The sequence below is a fragment of the Homo sapiens genome, chromosome 4, assembly GCF_000001405.40.
Source record: "Homo sapiens chromosome 4, GRCh38.p14 Primary Assembly".
In the NCBI taxonomy this organism is placed as follows: Eukaryota; Metazoa; Chordata; class Mammalia; order Primates; family Hominidae; genus Homo; species Homo sapiens.
The window spans coordinates 8,524,957-8,546,579 of record NC_000004.12 but is presented as its reverse complement, the minus strand read 5'-3'; the positions used below and the strand labels follow the sequence as shown (position 1 = coordinate 8,546,579).

Sequence of the window (21,623 nt, the reverse complement as noted above, 5' to 3'; positions counted from 1 at the left end):
GAAAGGCGGGAAGACTCCAAATGGGAAGGAGCCTTCCAGGTTGTACGTGGATAAGAGACAAATGGCTGCAGTCTTTTGAGTTTCTGATCAGCCTCTCCAAAGGAGGACTCAGATCTGCATTTATCTCAGTGAGCAGAGGGGTGACTTTGAGTAGAGTGGGAGGCAGGTTGGCCCTAAGCAGTTCCCAGCTTGACTTTTCCCTTCAACTTAGTAATTTTGGAGCCCCAAATCAGTCTCATCACATCTGCAAAGATCCTTTTCCAAATGAGGTCGCGGCCACAGGTTCTGGGATGTGGATGTATCTTTAGGAGGCCACCGTTCAGCCTATGGACTGCAAGCGTATCTTTCCAGGTACAGAAGGACAAGATCAGAAGTCACCTCTCCACCTGTCCCGAGCCGGATGCACAGCTGTCCCCTCTCCCCCTTCCCTTCACTTGTTCACCTTATCTTACATAAAATGTACATTTACTCAAAGTCTCACAAGAATGTCAGCATCTGCCTCACTGCCTACCCCTCCCGCCTTCCCTCTCCTTAAGTACTCCCTTCCCCTTAAATACTGAGTTCCCAAAACCTTCTTTGGAACGCGCAGGTCACAGATGCTCCTGGGACGTGTGTTTTCCTTAGGCGTGTCCTCACACTTTGGCTTGTGAGCCTCTACTGATTGAGACCCCTGCCCCCATCACTTTTTGGCTAAACGAGGACTCAGCTTCAGCACACGGAGGTGGGAGGAGTCCACACAGGTGTGTTATCCCATTAGCCGCAGAGTCCTGCTCTTACCCCACCCCTGGAAGGGAAGATTAGGCTGGAAAAATAAATATTCCTGGAAGGAAAGGCATGTTGGGCAGGCCAAAAGGAAGGTGGGGAACACAAGGGGAGGACGGAATGCATTTCATGAGGGGTGGCTGTGTCTCCTGCCAGGAATGCCCAGCAAGTCCTGGCCACCTGGGGGACAAGGCGGAGTTTCAGTGGGGAGGGTGGGGAAGCTGCGGTCCTCAAGGAAGCAGGTAGAGTGAGTAGGGGGCTGTTCTAAAAGGGAGGTCTGGGATGGCTTTGCCGAGAAGGTGATGTCGAACAGAGAACAGAGGAATCGAGAGACAGCACGGGGCTGTCCGGGGAGGAGAAGGACCCCCGTTGGGGACACCCTGGGATGGCCATGTGCCTGGTTAGGGCGAGGAATAGCAAGTGGCCATGGTGGGCAGGCCGGGGAGGGGGCGCCCCAGGAAGCGAGGTCACGGAGTTTTAGTTCTTCCTCCAGAGATGCAAAGCTTCAGGGGGCTTTAACAAAGCAGGGGAGGCTCAGAGGACCTCAGCGAGGCCGTTGCTGTAGTCCTGGGAGACACAGCAGATGCGGGCGCGGTCAAGGCCCTGGTGGAGTCCGGATGTGGCCAATCCCGCAAGCAGCTGGGAAAAGTCCTAAGGGAGCAGCCATCACAGGAAGCCGTGGGGCCGCGGTTTGCTCTCTAGGCGTTCGAGGAATCTCCAGCAGCCCTTTGGGAAGCAGTTATTGCTCTTTGCCACCGACCTGGGGCTGCCAGGACCAATTCCAGCCCCGCGTCCTGCAGACCCTGGTGCCCCCACTGCCGGGGACACGCTCAGCTCCACTCCCATGTAAGTGGGGCAGGAAGTGCAAGCCAACTGCCCTGGGGAAAATAACACTGGGGACAGTCACGCAGAGCAGCGTCATCGCCAGGCTGCCTGACCAAGGCGGTGCTGACCAGGATCTGGGAGCGAAGAGTCCCCCGTCCCCCACCATGACTGCGCACCTCCACCCACCTAGGCACCCAGAGTCCAACCCGGAGAATCGCCCTGAACGCTCCCTCCTCAGTGCCCCCAAGCAGCACCAGGCCCTTCTTGTGTTAAATGCCTCAGGTTCCGTCCCCCACGCCTCCCAAGAATTTCTCTAGATATGCACCCGGCCTCACTCCTTCTATTCTTAAATCCCATCAAGGATTCTCTGTGGCTTTTATAAGATCCAAACCCCACCGCGGGGCTTATGAGGCTCCATCTGACCAGGCCCTGTTCCCCTCTCTGCCCCCACTCCCATTCCTGCCACAGCCCCCCCCAACCACAGGACCTTTGCACTTGCTGTTCCCATCATGAGCCTACTAACTGCTCCCTGCCTAGCTATGCTGGGTCTCCTTCCAGGCCTCAGGTGACACCTCACTTCCTGACCCTCCAGGTCTGTTGGAGCCCCAACACAGGCTCTCCAGAGACATCCTCTTTCCCCCACTCCAGCACATGGCCTGTGTGATGTGGGCTGTTGGCAGCACAATTCACAATGGTGGGTTTAGCTCTCCTCTTACTGCCAGACTCCAGGAGGACAGGGGCCACACCTGCTTTCCCAGGTCAGGAACGGAGCCTGAGATGTGTTAAGGCTGAGACTGTTTATTTTAAACCATGGAAGCAGCAGCTGCTTCTGTGCAGAAAGGGATGGAAAGTCACCTTGAAGCTTTGCCCTCTCAAGTCACCTGAGCAGGCTTCCTGGGTAATGGAGAGGTGGGTGCTGTTTACCTCCTGCCCTGTGGGAGGGGTGCAATAGAACCTTTTAGGTCCCTGTATTAGTCCGTTCTCACACTGCTATAAAGAACTGCCGGAGACTGCGTAATTTATAAAGAAAGAGGCTTAATTGACTCACAATTTAGCATTGGTGGGGAGGCCTCAGGAAACTTACAGTCATGGTGGAAGGCGAAGGGGAATAAAGACAACTTCCTCACAAGGCGGCAGGAGGAAGTGCTGAGCAAAGGGGGAAGAGCCCCATATAAAAACATCAGATCTCACGAGAACTCACTCAATATCACGAGAACTCACTCAATATCACGAGAACTCACTCAATATCACGAGACCAGCATGGGGGAAACCGCCCCCATGATCCAACCACCTCCACCTGGTCTGTCCCTTGACATGTGGGGATTATAGGAATTTTGGGGATTATAGGAATTATGGGGATTATAATTCAAGATGAGATTTGGGTGGGGACACAAAGCCTAACCCTATCAGTCCCCCAAGGTAGACCCCAATACTATCCCTTGCCAAGCTGGGGGCTCGCAAAGGAGGTGCAAGGTGCATAAGAAACCCAAGGCCTTCCAGAGAAAGGGCCTGCACCCTAGGGTGTGAACAGGGTCATCGAGGGGAAGAACCGGAATGACAGGTGGACATCCAGGTTAACAGGAGCCGGGTGCTAGACAGGAATGCCGATGCTTCTGCCCTGGGCTGCTTCGCAGGCTGGGGTCAGGGCAGTGGGGACAGCCATGAGGTCGCAGAAGCCCATCGCCTCATGCTTTAATCAGTGACACTTCCCCAAGGGACCCACAGTCCAGGAGGGGAGGAAAGTGGCTCTCCTGGTGCCTTGGCAGGGCAGGGGCGGGGAAGTGGGTGGTTTGGATGCGGAGGCACCTCCCCACGCATCCTGCGGTTCATGGCCTGTGTGCCCTGCCTGTACCAGCTCCAGGGGCCTGGGGGAAGAACCCCAGTGTAGTGTCCATCACAGCCTCACACTTCTGGGCTGGGACTCACCACACTGGCCACTCCCTGTCCAGGGCTGCCAACCCATGCAGGCAGGGTCCATGTTTTGTCCCTTTGTCCCCACAGCCTTGCACACCACCAGCCTGACTCAGTGCTAAATGCATGAAGGAACTCATGACCTCAGAGCCCAAGGAAGTGCGTGCGTGAGACCTCCTGGTGCTCTGAGAAGCTCAGCTATACAGACACTGCTCTAAACGCCAGTCCTCAGCTGCGTGCCACTGCACTTATGATCGCTGCACTTGGCAGGCTCTGTGTTCCAGATGCTGGTAATGAAAGTGCTTTGCTTGGTCACCACTCAGGGCCCAGGTGTGCAGGATGCAAACTATTCCCTCTGCAGGGAGTGCCATCCCACTGCTCCAGACCATTCCAGGCTGCTTTGCCCCTCTCCATTCAGAACACAGGGCCTTGTGCACAATCACCTGGTCAGCTGGGAATCTCCAAACACAGACACACATGTGTGCGCATGCACACGCACTTGCACCCAGGAGCGGAAGGGCCCGGAGCTGCTCTGTGCAGATTTGCAATTCCCTCATGAAGTCGAGCCACCGTCCCTGCAGCTCTGGGACCCCCACACTTATCTGGGGGTGTCCATCCTTCTCCCAGGACCTCAAGGCCAGCACCTCAAGGCCAGGGCAGAGAGCCAGAATGTCAACCTAACAGATACCGCAGTCAGGCTGATATCCTGGAAAAGCCTCCTCCTAGAACCTTTCAGCCCAGCTCTGCTGCCTCTCCGTCTTCCATGAGGCTCTGGTCACACTGCCTGGCTGTTTCTCCTTTCTGCTGCAGGGCCTTGTCACCCGCTGTGCCTCTTGCTAGCACGCACTGCCTCCCTTTGATTCCCCATGTGGCCACACTGCGTCACGCTGTGGCCCTCAGCTCAAGGATCACCCATTCGAAAGCCCACTTTTGAGCACCCGCACCTCTCCCGGCCACCCTCATCCATTGGATCACCTTGATTTCATCATGTTGTGGCCACTATTGAAATCATCGTAAAGCATGTTCAGCTGGTTACTCTGTCACCCCAAACACGAGAGAGCAGGCATGGCCCATCTTATCTTCCACTGCATCCCCAGTGGGCACAGAGCGGGCTGCCAGTGAAAATTAATTTTTTTTTTGATAGAGTCTCACTGTCACCCAGGCTGGAGTGCAGTGGTGCGATCTCATCTCACTGCGCCACCACACCCGGATGTCCAGTGAGATTTCTGAGTGTAAGAATGAATGGATGAGGCCATCTGTCATGCTTCCCTTTTCATTCCCAACACTCCCCCTTTTCTATGACCCCATAAAAGTGAGCTCTGGCCAGGCACAGTGGCTCATGCCTATAATCTCAACACTTTGGGAGGTCAAGTCAGGAGGATCACTTGAGCCCAGTAGTTCAAGACCAGGCCTGGGCAACATGGCAAAACCCCATCTCCACAAAAAATACAAAACTTAGCCTGGTGTGGTGTGTACCTGTGGTCCCAGCTACTTGGGAGCCTGAGGTGGGAGGATCACTTGAGCCTGGGATTTGAGGTTGCAGTGAGCTGTGATCACACCACGGCACTCCAGCCTGAGTCACAGAGTGAGACCTCTTCTCAAAAATAAAAAATAAGAGCCCTGTATCATTTTTGTGCTCCAACCTCACAAAATAGAGGCAGGGACCTGAGTCCATGTGAACCGGCATATTGGGAAGACAGCTCTCAGATGGGCAGGGTTACTGGATGAGGGGTGATTTGTACCCCAAGTCACTGCAGTGGGTGCTCAAAAGTGGGCTTTCGAATGGGTGATCCTTGAGCTGAGGGCCACAGCGTGACGCAGTCTCTGGAGTGGGGTGCTGGAGTCTCTGGCAGCCTAGGATGGCAGGCGACTCAAGCTGAAGACCCCGAGCAAGGAGTCGGGGCCGGGCACCTGGGCAGGCCCTCCCCACCCCGTGCCTCAGCTTCCCTGCTGTAAGGGGTGGCTTCAGCCAGGGGACTTTGAGTGAATGGGGGCCCAAATGTCACCATCTTTGGAAAAAGCTCTTAGCACAATTAATTTAAGGATCTTGAGATGAGATCCTGCTGAATTGTCCAAGTGAGCCCTAAATCCAGTGGCCAGTGCCACTGAGTCCAGGGCCCAACTGGGGAAGATGCTTGGAGAAGAGAAGCAGGCCCGCAGTGGGGAGGCCCTGGGAACCCACAGGCGGAGTACAGGGATGCGGCCACAAGCCGGGGAATGCCTGGGGCCGCCAGAGGCTGGGAGAGGCGTGAAATGGATTTTCCTGAAGGCCTCTACAATGAACCAACCCAGCTGGCAGCTGGATCCCAGACTTCCGGCCCCCAGAACACACATCTGCTGTTTGAAGCCACTCTGGTGGTGTTTTGTTCGGCAGCCTAGAAACGTGGTCCAGATGCTATCAAGTCTGAAATTCTGGGCTTCTGTACCTTAGAAAGGGACAGATGGATCACACGGGGGAGGTGACACACATGGTGCCCACAGCCCCAGGCCCCGCCCCTGCCCCACCGGAACCTCTCTGTGCCTCAGTTTCCTCCTCTGTAAGACGGGGATAATAGCCACCATCTTTCCCAGGGCTGCTGAGAGGATTGTGCAAGAAGGCGCAGGACTCTGAGAACTCCTGGCATTCTGTAACCGGCTGTTACTGTGTTGTTTTTTCTTGTTTGGGAGCAGAGAGATGGATGTGCTGACTCTGAAACCAAATAAAACCACAGAGGCAGAGGCCTTCATCGCAGGCGAGGAGTGCGACGGCATGTTCAGGATCCAACATTGAGTTAAAGGGAAGCAAGAAGCGAGACAGCCACCCAGGCCGCCCCGGCTTCCTGGTCCTGTGTGTGCACGAGCTGAGCTCATGGGAGTGTGGGTGTCTCTATGCCTCTGCATACCCAGAGACAGGGCAGGAAGTTACTTTCTCTTTGAAAGGCAATTCATACTCTCCTCACAGTGTTTTTCTGTAGTTTCCAAATATCTGACAGTAAATGAGCATTATTTTGAATGTAGGAAAAGCCCCCTCAATCAAACATTATCAATGAGCCTGTTCTTGTAAGAGCAGAGAGAATTTTCCATGTGGCAGCAAATCTCACTGGGAAATCCCCAGCATCTCTAGGTGGATGCGGTATGCCCCGGACACTCTTGAGAGTGGCAGAGTGATGTGCACTGGGCTAGTGAGTCTGCTCTGCAGAACACTCGAGAGCAGGTGATGCCCCAAGAACCCAGCCTCATGGGACCCCAAAGCCTTCTCCTCACTTCCTTCTCCTCTGGTGAAAGAAAGACCGAGGTGCCAAGCAGGTGATGGCTCCTGTGCAATCCTACACATACTCCTTTGGTGCAAACAGGACTAGGGGCAGCTAGAAACCCCCGGGCACTAGGGCATCCCATGTCAGGCTTAAGGCAGCTCAGTCACTACCCTCTGTGTGCACAGAGGAGCTTGGCACTGGAGCTTGCCAGGGCTCTTCTGCAGTGGAACATTCACTGCTTCATCTTCATCCATCATCCACCCGTCACTGGTGATGCTGGGTCCCTTCCTGGGTGCTGGTGGCAAAAAGTGACCACAGGTGATCTCTGACCTCAAGGGGCTCCCATTGAGTAGGAGGGACAGATGGGGGACCCCTCAGTATAGCAAGGACACCGTGGTGCTGACGTGATGCTGGGGATGGCAGATGAGTGTGTCTCAGGCCGTAGACACTGTGTGGCACAGCTGCTGGTGGTCTGGGAGCCAGGACAGGTTGGAGCCGAATTTCAGCAAAGCCGCCAGGAATTGAATTCAGTGCTCATGACTTCACTCTGGGGCTCCTTCCAGCTCCCCTGGTGGCAGGGACCCAGAAGGAACTCACACCTATCAGGCCGGACTGCATGCCAGGCACGTCATACGTCATCCTTTCTGATGCTCACGATGGCCCTGTACAGTTACCATGCCCCTCAGGGAAGTTAGAGAGAGGATCAAAGAGGTTCTGCAATGTGTGTGAAGTCCCACACCGCCAGCAAGTGGCCGTGCTGGGGTTGGAACCCATCTACACCACTGCGGAGCCCATGGCCATGTCCTGGAGCCATTCTTCCTTCTGTCTGGTCCCACCTGCTCTCAGTACCCATCTTATACATCCCCAGAAGTTTTGTTTTCATCAAACGTTGTCTTCAACTCATCCCATGACCCACTGGCAGAGGAAGACAGAGGCCTGAGTCACCAGTGAGCTGGCCACTTGGCACGGTTTGGCCACTGACTCACCTGTGTCCTTGAGCAAGCCACTTGCCTCTCTGGGGTGAGGATGAGGACTGGCGTGAGCACTCCCCCTTCTGCCTGCCCCACATCCAACCATATTTGCTGGGACCACAGACATCTCCTTGGGAACTCATCCCTTATCATCACCCACAGTCTTGATGAGATATCAGTGAGCCTCCACTGGCCTGGCTGGGAGGGGCACACAAAACTCCCCCTGGTCCCCCGTGCTCCCTCCCTGGAGCACAATCTGGAGGCAGAGAACACAGAACGCAGAAGTCACACTCCAGCCCTCCTGCCTCCCTGGGGCCCTGCTCTCACTCTGCTGTCTTCAGACCCTGGTCCCGCAGCATCTCCCTCGCCCCTGCAAGGGCTCCAAGTGCTCTCAGTACCTTCTTCGTTGGCTCCAGTCGGCCAGGGTCAGCTTCCGTTACTTGTAAGTGAAGAACTCTGATGGGCCCAAGGGACTAAGGTTGTTTCTGGATCTCAACTTCCTCACTCAAGAACTTCAGGTGGCTTCCCACTGCCCTCGGATCAGACCCAACCTGGCCTCAGATTCCCCACTTCTGTCCCCACTGCTGCTCAAGCTGCATCCTCACCCCACGCCTGACTGCAGACCTGCCCTGCATGCGCCCTGGATGCCGCCCTCTGCTCTCACCACCACGTCTTCTCTCCCTGGGCCTCCCAAATCTAGTCCATCCCAGGAGGCCAGGGCTGTAAACCCAGGGTTTTGTCTTCCCCATTTCCATCCCACAAGGCCTTGGGGGAAGGTTTGTCCTGAGGTTTGCCAGATTAAAGGCAATAAAGAGCCAGTCTGAGCAAGAAGAGGCCTTTTCTGGGGTCTCTGGAACATTCCTCCTGGTATCCAGAAACACGTGGCTAATGATGCTGACACCCAGGCAGGGCTTGGCCCTGGGCAATTGGGCCGGGGTCTGATCCACAATGACCTCCAGCTCAGGGGACATGTCACCTGAGAATTTGCCCTTCCTACAAGCCAAGACCCCACCTCACCCCACCTGCCGAGGTTCTCTCAGCTCCCCTGACAGCTTCCTTCTATCAGGAAAAGACAGGTCTTCAGCCCCTAGGAGGTTCTCAGCTCCCAGCCCCGCTGACAGCCTTCTCCTATTAGGAAAGAACATGTCTTCAGGCCCTAGGAGGGTCTCAGCTCCCCTTTCCCCTGACAGCCTTCTCCTATCAGGAAAGAACATGTCTTCAGGCCCTAGGAGGGTCTCAGCTCCCCTTTCCCCTGACAGCCTTCTCCTATCAGGAAAGAACATGTCTTCAGGCCCTAGGAGGGTCTCAGCTCCCAGATCCCATGCCTGACTAAGAGCAGTGGCGATGGAGCATGGGGCGTGACAAAAGGTCTGCAGGTGGACAGACAGAATGAATGGAGGGGCTGGAAGCAGGCAGCCTGGTTCCTGGTCCAGGAGTCTCTGTGAAACCATTGCCACTGACCTCCTCACTCTGCCACTTTCACTTTTCGATTGAGTCATTCCGCAGTTTGAACGTGTGCCAGACTTCAGCAATCACAGGAAGGATGAGAGCTCTTCTTGGCCCCAACTCTCCCTTTGTCCTCTGCAACCGATTACATTACACTCGGCTCGGCTAAACCAACCTGAGCAAGCGTGGGAAGGGTGGGTGGATGGTCAGTGTTCTGGAAGGATCTCCCGAGAGTCAGCAGAGCTGAGCTAAGGCCCCAGCTCCACCAGCACAAGCAGATCTCCCAGGCAGCTGTGCTGCCTCTGCGTCCCAGGAATACCTGTACTTTCCTGCCTCTCAGCCTTTGCTCAGGCTGGGCCTTCCACCAGACTGCCCTTCCTGTCTCCATCACTGGACCTTTCCTAGATATGAAACAGGTCCCGGCCAGAGGTGATGGCCCCTCCTCCCCTTCGTCCCCCAGTACTTGTGTGTGCCAGAAAGACCTGGATGGAGAAGGGGACTTGATCTTATAACATGGGGCCAGACAACTGATGTCCTTTCCTTGATCCTACAGCAAATCTGGGACAAAAATTCTATTACCCTCATTAATGAGAAAAGTGAGGTGCAGAGCATTTACCCCCCATGGCTCAGCAGGTGCCTGACTGAGGCAGCAAAGGATGGGTGCCGAGCCTGTCTGGCCCCTGCCCTGTCTGCCTTCCCTCAGTCAGTACCAGCCCTCGGTTTAGTTCCTGCCACTTCTTTATCCCACACGTGTTCAGTGGGAGCTGGTTCCTGGGGACTGTGCTGGATGTGGGGCACCCAGGGTGAGATAAGGCCAGCCTTGCTCCCATGCCTCCCTTGGAATGGTGTTGGAGGCCCATGCGTGAATAGGCACTCGCGTGCTGCCAACCCGAGGATAAGCCCCAGCCATAGTGGACAGTTGTGCTGGTTTCTAAAATCACCCCCTTCTCCCATGGGGTGTCCCATCGCCCAAGGACAGGGTGATGGTGACCCTGTCCTTGGCCCTGGTGCCATTTCTCTTGGCTCTGATTAGCCACTCTTTCCACGTTTCCATGCAGCCGTTCCAGGCACAACTACTGCATGCTCTGGGTTTGTGGGGGACACAGAAATGACTCCTTTCCTTTGTAGACTTTATTCCTTCACAGGCAACTGGAGGACTTGGGGGGCTACTTTCAGCTTGATGCCTACCCTCCCCGTAAGAACAGGGCCTATTTCCCTGGTTTACAGCTCTACCCTCAACAAGCCAAGCACAGGGCTTGCCCCAAAGAAGCTGCTTAACACACACTTGCAGAATAAATGGCTAAGAGTCGTGGTCTTTAGTCTCCAAGAGTGCATGGTCTAGAGGGATGACAAAATACAGACACATCCCTGGAAGAAGCAGCCGAGCCAGCTGGCATCACCCGCCAGGGCCTGCCAGGGCTGCTGCTGAATTGCTGGGACCTTGGTTTTGGCCAGCCATGGTCCTTTGGCTGGGGTCTGCAGTGGGGAGCTCAGTCAAGGGAGGAGAGAAAACCCAGGGGGCTTCCTGTAAGAGCTCTCTCGGGGGCCTTCCTGTAGGCCCAGAACCCTGGGCAAAATGAAAACACACAGCCTCCTGTTCAAAAAGCAGGAGGAAATCTTTATCCTTCCTTCAGAGTTATCTCTCTCTCTCTCTCTCTAAAGTTGTCATGGTGTTTTAATTTGCTATTTGATGTCACTCTCCCTTGGACATGGATGCTTACAGGGTGAGGACAGATGCAGACAGGAACTCAGGACCCTGCTGTGCAATTCAACATGCCAGGCACCTGATCCCAACTCTGACTTCCCTGCCCCTGAACCCAGGCCCCAGGGCAGAGGGCAGCAGTGATTGTCAGGTGAGGGCAGGAGGCATGGGACAAGTATCAACCTATAAACAGAGGCTTGGCAATAAAAAAGAGTCAAACTGTGTAAAATATGTGAAGGGATTTATTCTGAGCCAACTATGAGTGACCATGGCCAAAGGCACAGTCTCAGGAGGTCCTGAGAACAGGTGCCCGAGGCGGTTGGGTTACAGCTTGATTTTACATATTTTAGAAGGAGAGAAATTACAGGCAGAGACAAAAATCAATACACGTAAGGTGCACATTGGTTCAGCCTAGAAAGGTGGGACATCTTGAAGTAGGGGCTTCCAGCTTGATATGGTTTGGCTCTGTGTCCCCACCCAAATGTCATCTTGAATTGTAATCCCCATAATTAATTCCCATGTGTCTAAGGAGGGACCAGGTGGGAGGTGAATGGATCATGGGGATGGTTTCCCCCATGCTGTTCTCACGACAGTGAGGGAGTTCTCATAAGATCTGATGGTTTTATAAGTGTTTGACAGTTCCTCCTTCACACACCCTTCTCTCTCCTGCCGCCATGTGAAGAAGGCCCTTGCTTCCCCTTCACCTTTGACCATGATTGTAAGTTTCCTGAGGCTTCCCAAGCCATGTGGAGTTGTGAGCCAATTAAACGTCCTTCCTTTATAAATTACCCAGTCTTGAATATTTCTTTATAGCCGTGTGAAAACAGACAAATACACAGGTCATAGGTGGATTTAGAGATTTCCTGATGGCAAGTGGCTGACAGGGTTAAGCTCTGCCTGAAAAGTTGAAGTCAACAGAAGGAAATGTTTGTTGTTAAGAGAAGGGGGAATGTGGAAGCCAAGGTTCCTGTTATGTGTCAGACTCTCCTTAGTTAACTCTCTCCTGGATCAGGAAAAGACTGGAAAGGGAAAAGGATTCTCTACAGACTGTAGGTTTTCCCAGTAAGAGACAAATTTGCAGGGCCATTTCAACATAGGTACATTCTGGGGGTAAACTGCTTCGATCTCTTTCAGGGCCTGCTATCTGTCATGTGATGCTATACTAGAGTCAGGTTGGAATTTGGTATCTTATTGCTACAAGGAGTCTGTTTGGTCAGCCTCAGGATCTCTGTTTTCATGTTAATGCTGGTCAGTCATGTTGAAACTCCAAAGGGAGGGGGTATAATGAGGCGTGTCCAACCCACTTCTATCTTGGCCTGAACTAGTTTTTCAGGTTTACGTTGGAATTCCCCTGGCCAAGAGGAGGGACCATTCAGTCAGCTGGGGAGCTTAGAATTTTAGTTTCAGTTTACAGGCTCCAAGTCCCCAGCACATGCTCCACTCTCCCTTAGACTTTACACACAAGACACAGATTCAAAGATAAACTGCCAACTCCAGGGCACTAAACCCCAAGCCTAGGGCCCTGTTCGTCTATGGCCGAGCCAGCCCTGCCTCCTTCCACCCCTGCCTGAGGCCACTAGCCAGCTAAGGACCAAGCAAACCCATCCTGCTGTGGTGACGGGCTATGGCCTCCCAGAGGACACTTTGACTCCATGTCCCTGCGTCCTGGTATGGCTCCAGTGACTGTATATAAAAGGTGCTGTTGCCTTCATGAAGAGGGTGCGAGCTGTTTTCTTTTTTTGGCGTAGACACAGTCTGTCTATTTCACCTTCTAGTTCAGGTCTTCCACCCCTGCTGCTGTTGGTGTTCCTTTCTTATTTCCCTTTACCCTGGATCTTTCATTTAATTCTTTGAAAATATGCTATTGATGGGGCATGGTGGTGCACACCTGTAATCCCAGCACTTTGGGAGGCAGAGGCAAGTGGATCACTTGAGCCCAGGAGTTTGACACCAGCCTGGGAAACATAGTAAAATCCTGTCCCTACAAAACATACAAAAATTAGCCAAGCGTAGTGGTGCTCACCTGTAGTCCCAGCTGCTCAGGAGGCCAATGCGGGAGGATCACTTGAGCCCAGGATGTCAAGGCTGCAGTGATCCAAGATTGCACCACTGCACTCCAGCCTGGGTGACAGAGCAAAACCTTGTCTCAAAAAAAATAAAAAATAAAAATAAGAGAAGAGAAGAAAATCTGCTATTGGTGGTTTTTCTGTTGTTCAGACACTGGTTTATGCTCAGTGCTTCCAGGAATGACCCACCTGCCCCTCTCACTTTCATGTCTGCACCTGCCCTCCAGTTGTTTAAGGTTCTGCCTCTGGATTTTCACTTTTTATTCTTGTTCTTGCTTTCTCATGCTTTTTACATTCATGGAATCATTGATTTTTACCCAAAGTTTTGTGTGGTTATCTCCTTTTTTCAGTTTATCACTTTGATATGTAATTTCAAATTTATTTCAGCACATTGAGCTGATTTAACATTAACACACATTGAGCTGATTTAACATTAACACAACATTTCCCTTATTTTATTTTATTTTATTTTTTTTTTTGAGACAGGATCTCGCTACATTGCCCAGACTGGACTACAGTGGTATGACCTTGGTTCACTGCAACCTCGGCCTCCCGGGTTCAAGCAATTCTCCTGCCTCAGCCTCCTGAGTAGCTGGGATGACAGGCATGTGCCACCACGCCCAGCTAATTTTTTGTATTTTTAGTAGAGACAGGGTTTTGCCATGTTCCCCAGGCTGGTCTCGAACTCCTGACCTCAGGTGATCCACCGTCCTCAGCCCCCAAAATGCTGGGATTTCAGATGTGTGCCCCTGTGCCCAGACACTAAAATCTTTATTTCGATGTCTATTCCTGACAGATTACCTAAAAGATTAACTAAGGCTTACTTTACTTTTTTCTTCTTCCTTCCTTTTCATATTTTATTCTTTCTTTATAAATGTTTTTTGTAATGAATGGCCAGTGACTTGGTTGGAATAATATAACAAAAAATACCCCAAACTTCAGCAGCTTCATGTGATGAACATTTATCTCCCACCTCCCCTCACCCCCACCCCAGTGCTGATGTTCCTGGTGGTGGGGGCAGGGTGCTCTGCTCCACTCAGTCATTTAGGGATTCAGGTTGTGGGGACTCTGCCATCTTGGGGTGTGGCCCTAGGTCACACTGGATGATGTAAACTAAAAATTAAATGTTAAGCCCCTCAACTGACTGAATGGGCCTCTCCTCTCTGCCAAGAGAGGACAGGGCATTCCAAAGTTAACCTGAAAAACCAGTTCAGGCCGTGATGGGAAGCGGGGTCAGACATGCTTCATTTTACCCTCCCCCCTTTGGAATTCAGGCACAGCTGACCAGCATTAACATTAAAACAGAGGAGACCTTCAGACTTTTTGTAGCAACAAGGCATCAAATTCCAGCCGGACTCTAGTACAGCATCACACGACAGATAGCAGGCCCTGAAAGAAATTGAAGCGTTTTACCCCAAAATATATTTATTTGACATATTTTGAAATAGCCTTGCACCTCAGGTGATCCGTCCACGTTGGCCTCCTAAGATCCCAAAATGCTGGGATTACAGGCATGAGCCACTGCCCAGCCTAACAACATAAAATTTTAAATGTCCACCATGTAACCCATAATGATGTGGCCCAGGAAGTCCCAGGAAACCCTCAGCTCATGTGGAAAAGACAATCAACAGCCGCCAATACCTGGATGACCCGGATGTTGGAATTCGCTTATGAAAACTTTAAAGCAAGTGTTGCAGAAGTAATCCAAGAGGAAGAGGTGAACACTATTGAGTTCAGAGGAAAGATAGGAGATGTCAGCAAAGAAACAGAAGCTACAAAGAACCACATGAAAAATGCAGAACTTTCAAATGAAGTAATCAGAAATGTGAAAGCCCACTGTATGGGCTCAATAGTAGAACAAAAATGACACGGGAACGGGTGAGTGAACTTGAAGATAGACCAATGGGCCAGCCATGATGGTTCATGCCTGCAACCCCAATACGTCAAGAGGCTGAGGTGGGAGGATGCTTAAGGCCAGGAGTTTAAGACCAGCCTGGGAAACACAGCAAGACCCTATCTCTACAAAATAAAAATAAAAATAAAAATAAAAAAATTAGCCTGGTATAGTGGTGTATACCTGTAGACCCAGCTACTCTGGAAGCTGTGGCAGGAGAATCGCTTGATCCCAGAAGTTCCAGGCTGTAGTAAGCTATGATTGTGCCACTGTGCTCTAGCCTGGGCAACAGAGCAGGGCACTGTCCCTTTAAAAAAAAAAAAAGAAAAGAAAAGAAAGCTAAAGCAATACAATTATTCAACATGAACAGCAGTGAAGAAAATATTTAAAAATGAACACAAAATCCAATTGCCCTTCATTATTATTATTATTATTATTATTATTATTATTATTATTATTATTTGAGATAGAGTTTTGCTCTTGTTGCCCAAGCTGGAGTTCAATGGTGCAATCTCGGTTCACTGAAACCTCTGCCTACCAGGTTCAAGCAATTCTCCCATCTCAGCCTCCCAAGTAGCTGGGATTACAGGCGCACACCACCATGCCTGACTAATTTTTTGTATTTTCAGTAGAGACAGGGTTTCACCATGTTGGCCAGGCTGGTCTCAAACTCCTGATCTCAAGTGGTCCACCCACCTCAGCTTCCCAAAGTGCTGGGATTACAGGCGTAAGCCACCGCACCCAGCCACCAATGCCCATTCTTGATAAAAATTCTTAACAAACTAGGGATAGAAGGCAGCATCCCCAACCTGACAGAGTGTCTGCAAAACATCCACAACTAACTTGTACCCTATGGTGAAAGACTGGGTGCTCTCCCAGTGAGAGCAAGTAGAAAGCAAGGCACCCATTCTCAGTTTGGTTTACACTGACTAGAGGTCCTAGCAAGGGCAATTAGGCAAGAAAAATAATTAGAAGACATGCAGATTGTAAAGGGAGAAGTAAAACTCTCAATTTGGAGATGACACAAGCTTATATGTAGAAAATCCTATAAAAGCTACAAAAAATCGTATTAGAGCCAATAAACAGCTGAGCAATTTTGCAGGATGCAAGATCAATATATGAAGTCAGTAGGATTCCTGTACACAAGCAACACACAACCCAAAAGTGGAATTGAGAAAAAAATAGCATCAATACCATCAAAAAGAATAAAATACTCAATAAATTTAACCAAAGAAGTGCAAGACTTATTCGCTGAAAACTACAAAACATTGTTGAAAGAAATTAAAGGAGAGTTAAATAAATGGAAAGGTACTCTGTATTCATAGATTAGAAGACTAGACTTATTAGGATGCCCATACTCCTCAAACCAGCCTACAGAGTCAGTGTGGTTCCTATCAAAATTCCAATGGTGTGTTGCACAGAATGAATAAGCTGATGCTAAAATTCATGTGAAATTGCAACGAAGCCCAATAGCCAAACAATCTTTAAAAAAGAACAACATTGGGGCCAAGTGTGGTGGCTCACACCTGTAATCCCAGCACTTTGGGAGGCCAAGGCAGGTGGACTGCTTGAGCTCAGGAGTTTGAGACCAGCCTGGGCAACATGGTGAAATCCTGCCTCTACAAAAAATACAAAAATTAGCCAACATAGTGATGCACATCTGTAATCCCAGCTACTCGGGAGGCTGAGGTAGGAGAATCACTTGAACCCAGGAGGTGGAGGTTGCAGTGAGCTGAGATCATGCCACTTCACTCCAACCTGGGCAACAGAGCAAGACTGTCTCAAAAAAAAAATTAGCTGGGTGTGGTGGTGCACACCTGTAGTTCTAGCTCCTCAGGAGGCTGAGGTTTGTAGGACTGCTTGAGCCTTGGAGGTTGAGCCACTGCACTCCAGCCTGGGCAACAAAATTGAGAGTCCAGAAAGAAACCCATACAGCTATGCTCAAATGATTTTGACAAGGGTAACAAGATCATTTCATAAGGAAAAAATCTTTTTTTAACAAATGGTGATGGAACAATAGGACACTCATATGCAAAGAAGAATGAATGTGGATCCCTACCTCACATCACGTACAAAGTTGAACTCACAACTCTCAAGTCCTAAATGTAACAGTTAAAACTATAAAACTCTTAGAAAGAAATATAGGTGTAAATCTTTGTGACCTTAGATCAGGCAAGTTTCTCGGATATTAAACCAAAAGCAACAAAAGAAAAATTTAAATTGAACTTTATCAAAATGTAAAACTTTTGCTGCAAAGGACATTCTCAAGAAAGTGAAACAAGAACACACAGAATGGGATAAAATGTTTACAAATCATATATCTGATAAGGGTCTAGTGTCCAGAATATATAAAGAGCTTTCACAAGTAAACAAAAAAAGGACAAATAACCCAATTAAAACATGAGGAAAGGATCTGAGTAGACATTTCCCTAAAGAAGATCTGCAAATGGCCAGTAACCACGCCCTATGGCCTGAATGTTGATGTCCCTGCCAAATTCATATGTGGAAATTTAACCTCCAAGATTGTGGTCTTAAGAGATGGGCTCTTTGGGGGGTCCTCTGTTCTCATGAATTGGATTAATTTCCTTATAAAAAGGGTTTGAGTGGCAGATTTGTTCCATCCACCTCTTCTGCCATGTGAGGACACAGCAAGAAGGTACCATCTTTGATGCAGACAGTGGGCCCTCACCAGACACCAACTCTCCCAGTACCCTGATCTTATATTCCTCATTCCCTAGAACTGTGATAAATACATTTCTATTGTTTGTAAATTACCCAGTCTTAGGTATTCTGTTGTAGCCATAGGAACAGACTAAGACAGCACATGAAAAGATGTTCATGGTCATGAGTCATTAGGGAAACACAAATCAAGACCACAGTGAAATACCACTTCACATCTATTAAGACAGCTGTAACTAAAACCAGAAAACAAGTGTTGCCAAGGATATAGAGAGGTTGGAACTCTCATACACTGCTGGTGGGAATTTAAAATTATGCACCTAGTATGGAAAACAGACTGGTAGTTCCTCAAAAACTTAAACATAGAGTCGTGTGATGTCCTAGCAATTCTACTCCTAGGTGTTCAAGAGAATTGAAAACATGTTTACACAAAAACTTGTGTACAAATGTTGATAGTCAAAATAGCTAAAAAATGGAAACAAATGTCCACCAACTAATGAACAGATAAAAAATTGTTGTATGTGGCTGGGCGCAGTGGCCCACGCCTGTAATCCCAGCACTTTGGGAGGCTAACGTGAGAAGATTGCTTGAGATCAGGAGTTTGAGACCAGCCTGGGCAACATAGTAAGACCCTGTCTCTACAAAAATACAAAAATTAGCCAGGCATGGTGGTGCATGCCTCTAGTCCCAGCGCTTTGGGAGGCTGAGGTGGGCAGATCACTTGAGGCCAGGTGTTCAAGACCAGCCTGACCAATATGGCAAAACTCCATCTCTACTGAAAATACAAAACTTAGCTGGGTGTGGTGGTATGTGCCTGTAGTCCCAGCTACTCGAGAGGCTGAGGCAGGAAGATCCTGGGATCCCAGGAAGTGGAGGCTGCGTGAGCTATGATTGTGCCACTGCACTCCAGCCTAGGTGACAAAGCAAGACCCTGTCTCAATAAAATAAAATAAAAATAAAAATTATAGCATGTTCATATTCATACAATGGAACATTATTCAACCATAAAAAGAAAGAAGTACTGATACATTTCACAGCATGGATGAACACGTGTAAAAGCATGTTAAGTGACAGAAACCAGACACAAAAGGCCACATCTATTATTCCATTTATATGAAATGTCCAGAAAAAGCAAATCCACAGAGACGGAAATAGTTGAGTGGTTGCTGGGGGTGGGATGGGGGAGGAAGGCCTGGGGAGGACCGATGATTGGCACAGGCTTTCCCTTTGGGGTGGTGGAGCTGCCCGGGAACTGGGGAGTGATGATGGTTGCACAACACAGAATTTACCAAAACCCGCGGACACTTTAAAATGGATAAAAGAGTGACTTTGATGTCAGGAGAACTACATCTCAATTAAAAATACAATTAAAAAATAAACAAAGACGTATGGGATCACAATAAAACATCCAAAGTTTGTGCTCATCAGAGTCTCAGAAGCTGAAGAGGAAGTGGTTGATGCAGAAAAAAAGATATTGAAAGAAATAATGGCTGAAAATGTCCCATATGTGGCAAAAGACATAAACTGGAAACAAACCAAACAGGTAGGTAAATAGATGAACAAAGTAGGCAACACCTACAGCCCACACAGATGCTGCTCAGCACGGAAAAGGAAGGGCCCTTGGCATGGGCAGCAATGCCAAGCTCACAGCCCTGCTACCTGGAGCACTCCTGTAACAGCGGCTCTAAAGTCTCTGTCAGAGGGTTTCCATGTACACCGCATTCTCTTGTTCTTTTTTGTTTTCACTGAGACAGGGTCTCACTATGTTGCCCAGGCTGATCTCAAACTCCTGGGCTTAAGGGATCCACCTGCTTCGGCCTCCCAAAGCACTGGGACTACAGGTGTGAGCCTCCCTGCCCAGCCATGTGGCATTCTCAATAAGGCAAAGCTAAAGTGACAGAGAGCAGGTCACCCGTTGCTGGATGACAAGGGGTGGCATGGGGAGTTTCTCTGGGGCGACTAAGCGGTTCTGCGTCCTCACTGCAGTGGGGGGGGGGGTCACACAAATCCATACACCTGTTAAAATTCATAACTCTGTGCACCGAAAAAGATACGTTGACAGCATGAGAATCTAAAAAGTAAAATATACAAATTTTAAAAAAATTATTTTTCAACCTCAGCTCAGGAAAAGACATCCTGGGGACCCTGGATTGAGAGAAGGTGGAAGATCATCACGGCTAGGATGCTAGGATTTTGTTTTCACAAAACACACTCCATACGCGGAGGACTTTGCCGCTCACAGAGCCCAGTTCCACCATTTCCCAGTGCATCCTTCACATCCACTGGGTGAATAGGTGAGCAGAAGTCCACTCCCCAGTGAGGGCAGAGGGGCCCCTGGAGGCACGAAGAGGAGAGTGCCCAACACGCAACCACGTGTGGCTGTCCATGGCAGGGCAGGTTCTCTGCCTCCCACATTCAGCTTTTCCTGCACACACCTCATCTACCTGGACAACCTCGCTTTACCCCTGAGGCCTGGGCTGCGGGAGGGCCTTGCCTGCGCTGAATAAGGAGGCTGGAGGGAGCACAGGTCCCTTTCTCGAGGGCACCGCCAGGGAGCTGGGTTCCCAAGGGAGTCCCAGTCTCTCCAAATACCACCCTGGATCCATGATGTGTGGGCACCACGCTGGGTCCTGGGAGGGAGCTCATACCCAAGCATTTCCCCCTCAAACTGGATGACCTAGAGCAGCCACAGGCTCTCCCCGTGCCTCGGTTTCCTTAGCTATGAAAGTAGAAATAAGACATGAAGATACAGAAATAAAGAGACGTAAAGATCCCAGCTCATCGACTGACTCTCCCACTTCCCGTCTCTGAGATGGGCTGCACCCAGCACCCTCACACTTGAGCCTGTCATCGGCCGGCAAGTCCCATGCACTTTTGGCAACGCATGAGTGATGTTTCATTGCCATTTACAATGTCCTCAGATTGTCAGCTGGTGGCAGAAGGAAAAGCGCCACACATGCTTTATTTGGCAGCAGTTTTTCCTCTTAGTGATGTGGAGATGATGCCACCACGTCTTGCAGTGGGTGGTGTCCAGGAGTGGAGGGCATGTGGTATTTATTTATTCTTGCAGCCTCCTGCGAGCCACCCACTATGCTGGCCTGGGGTGTAAAGAAGAAAGGCCACCCCCAGCCAGCCAGGAGATGGCAGCCCAGCAGGATGGCCACACACAGATGATGCAATTCTGCCCAAGCAGCGGGGATGGGGAGCGAGGCCCACAGAACCTGTCCCAAATGCTTCCCGTCTTGAGGCTCGGCTCCCGGATCCACACCACTGGGTGCCTGGTTCTGCCGCAGCCCCCTTCATCCCCCGACACCGGCCCACATGCTCCCCAGAAGTGCCCAGGCTCACCGCCTCACCGCAGAGCTGCCCCTCTGGAGCCGGCAGTTTTGCCCCTAAAACGAGAGCCTAGGCAAGCTGATCTCCAGAGGCCTCCTCGGCCCTCATGGCCCAGGAACATAAATTTTCATTTCTTGTAAACTTGGAATATTTGGAATTCCACAAGTTGCCCCATTGAACTTTTCCAGGAATATTTCCCAAGCTGCAAATTCTTGGGCCTCCTTTGAAATGCATCTTCCTCCAATCCTGCTTCTCTACGCCCTTGGCCTCCCCTGAGGCCCAGAAACTCCTGAGGTTCACTGGGAGGTCTTTTGAGTGGGTCTCCCTGAGGGGTCTCCATGAGAAGCTGTGAGCTTTCAACCCCCATGCCAGGGAGACCAGGGTGATGGGGCTCCAGGAGGTGGAATCTGAAGCTCATGTCACCCTGGAAACACCTCTTCCAGGAAGGCCCCCTGACCACCACCCCTTCTCCCAGCGGGGTTCCTTGGGCCAGCACATGTCCAGCCATCTGTGGGAAGAACTAACCTACCCTAGGCCATCTGCAGTCCTTCTGAGTGTGACTAGCACACGAGACTCACTGCATGAACAGGTGTGTGCACACGCTCCAGCCAGGTGAGCCATCTCCCAGGGATGTGCCCGGGTGATACCGCAAGGCCAGACCACAAGAAAGTCTCCAAATACTCTGATTTCTGTACTTGTTGTGGGCCTGGAACAAACATTTTGCAGACAGACCCCAATCTGTCAACTGTGCTGTGTCACCCTGTAGGGGCCCCTTAGCTCTGTGGCCAAAGGGCCCAC

General features: G+C 50.6%; 5 annotated features.

Moving 5' to 3' along the window:
- Positions 1,370-2,057: an enhancer, noted in NCBI's record as "H3K4me1 hESC enhancer chr4:8546250-8546937 (GRCh37/hg19 assembly coordinates)". NCBI's record gives its function as "activates a minimal SCP1, AML or CMV promoter by ChIP-STARR-seq in primed H9 embryonic stem cells {active_cell/tissue: H9 hESC(primed)}" and the evidence as "EXISTENCE:reporter gene assay evidence [ECO:0000049][PMID:30033119]".
- Positions 6,134-6,293: an enhancer, noted in NCBI's record as "active region_21300". NCBI's record gives its function as "activates an Ori minimal core promoter by ATAC-STARR-seq in GM12878 lymphoblastoid cells {active_cell/tissue: GM12878}" and the evidence as "EXISTENCE:reporter gene assay evidence [ECO:0000049][PMID:35858748]".
- Positions 6,564-6,653: an enhancer, noted in NCBI's record as "active region_21299". NCBI's record gives its function as "activates an Ori minimal core promoter by ATAC-STARR-seq in GM12878 lymphoblastoid cells {active_cell/tissue: GM12878}" and the evidence as "EXISTENCE:reporter gene assay evidence [ECO:0000049][PMID:35858748]".
- Positions 12,185-12,324: an enhancer, noted in NCBI's record as "active region_21298". NCBI's record gives its function as "activates an Ori minimal core promoter by ATAC-STARR-seq in GM12878 lymphoblastoid cells {active_cell/tissue: GM12878}" and the evidence as "EXISTENCE:reporter gene assay evidence [ECO:0000049][PMID:35858748]".
- Positions 12,405-12,544: an enhancer, noted in NCBI's record as "active region_21297". NCBI's record gives its function as "activates an Ori minimal core promoter by ATAC-STARR-seq in GM12878 lymphoblastoid cells {active_cell/tissue: GM12878}" and the evidence as "EXISTENCE:reporter gene assay evidence [ECO:0000049][PMID:35858748]".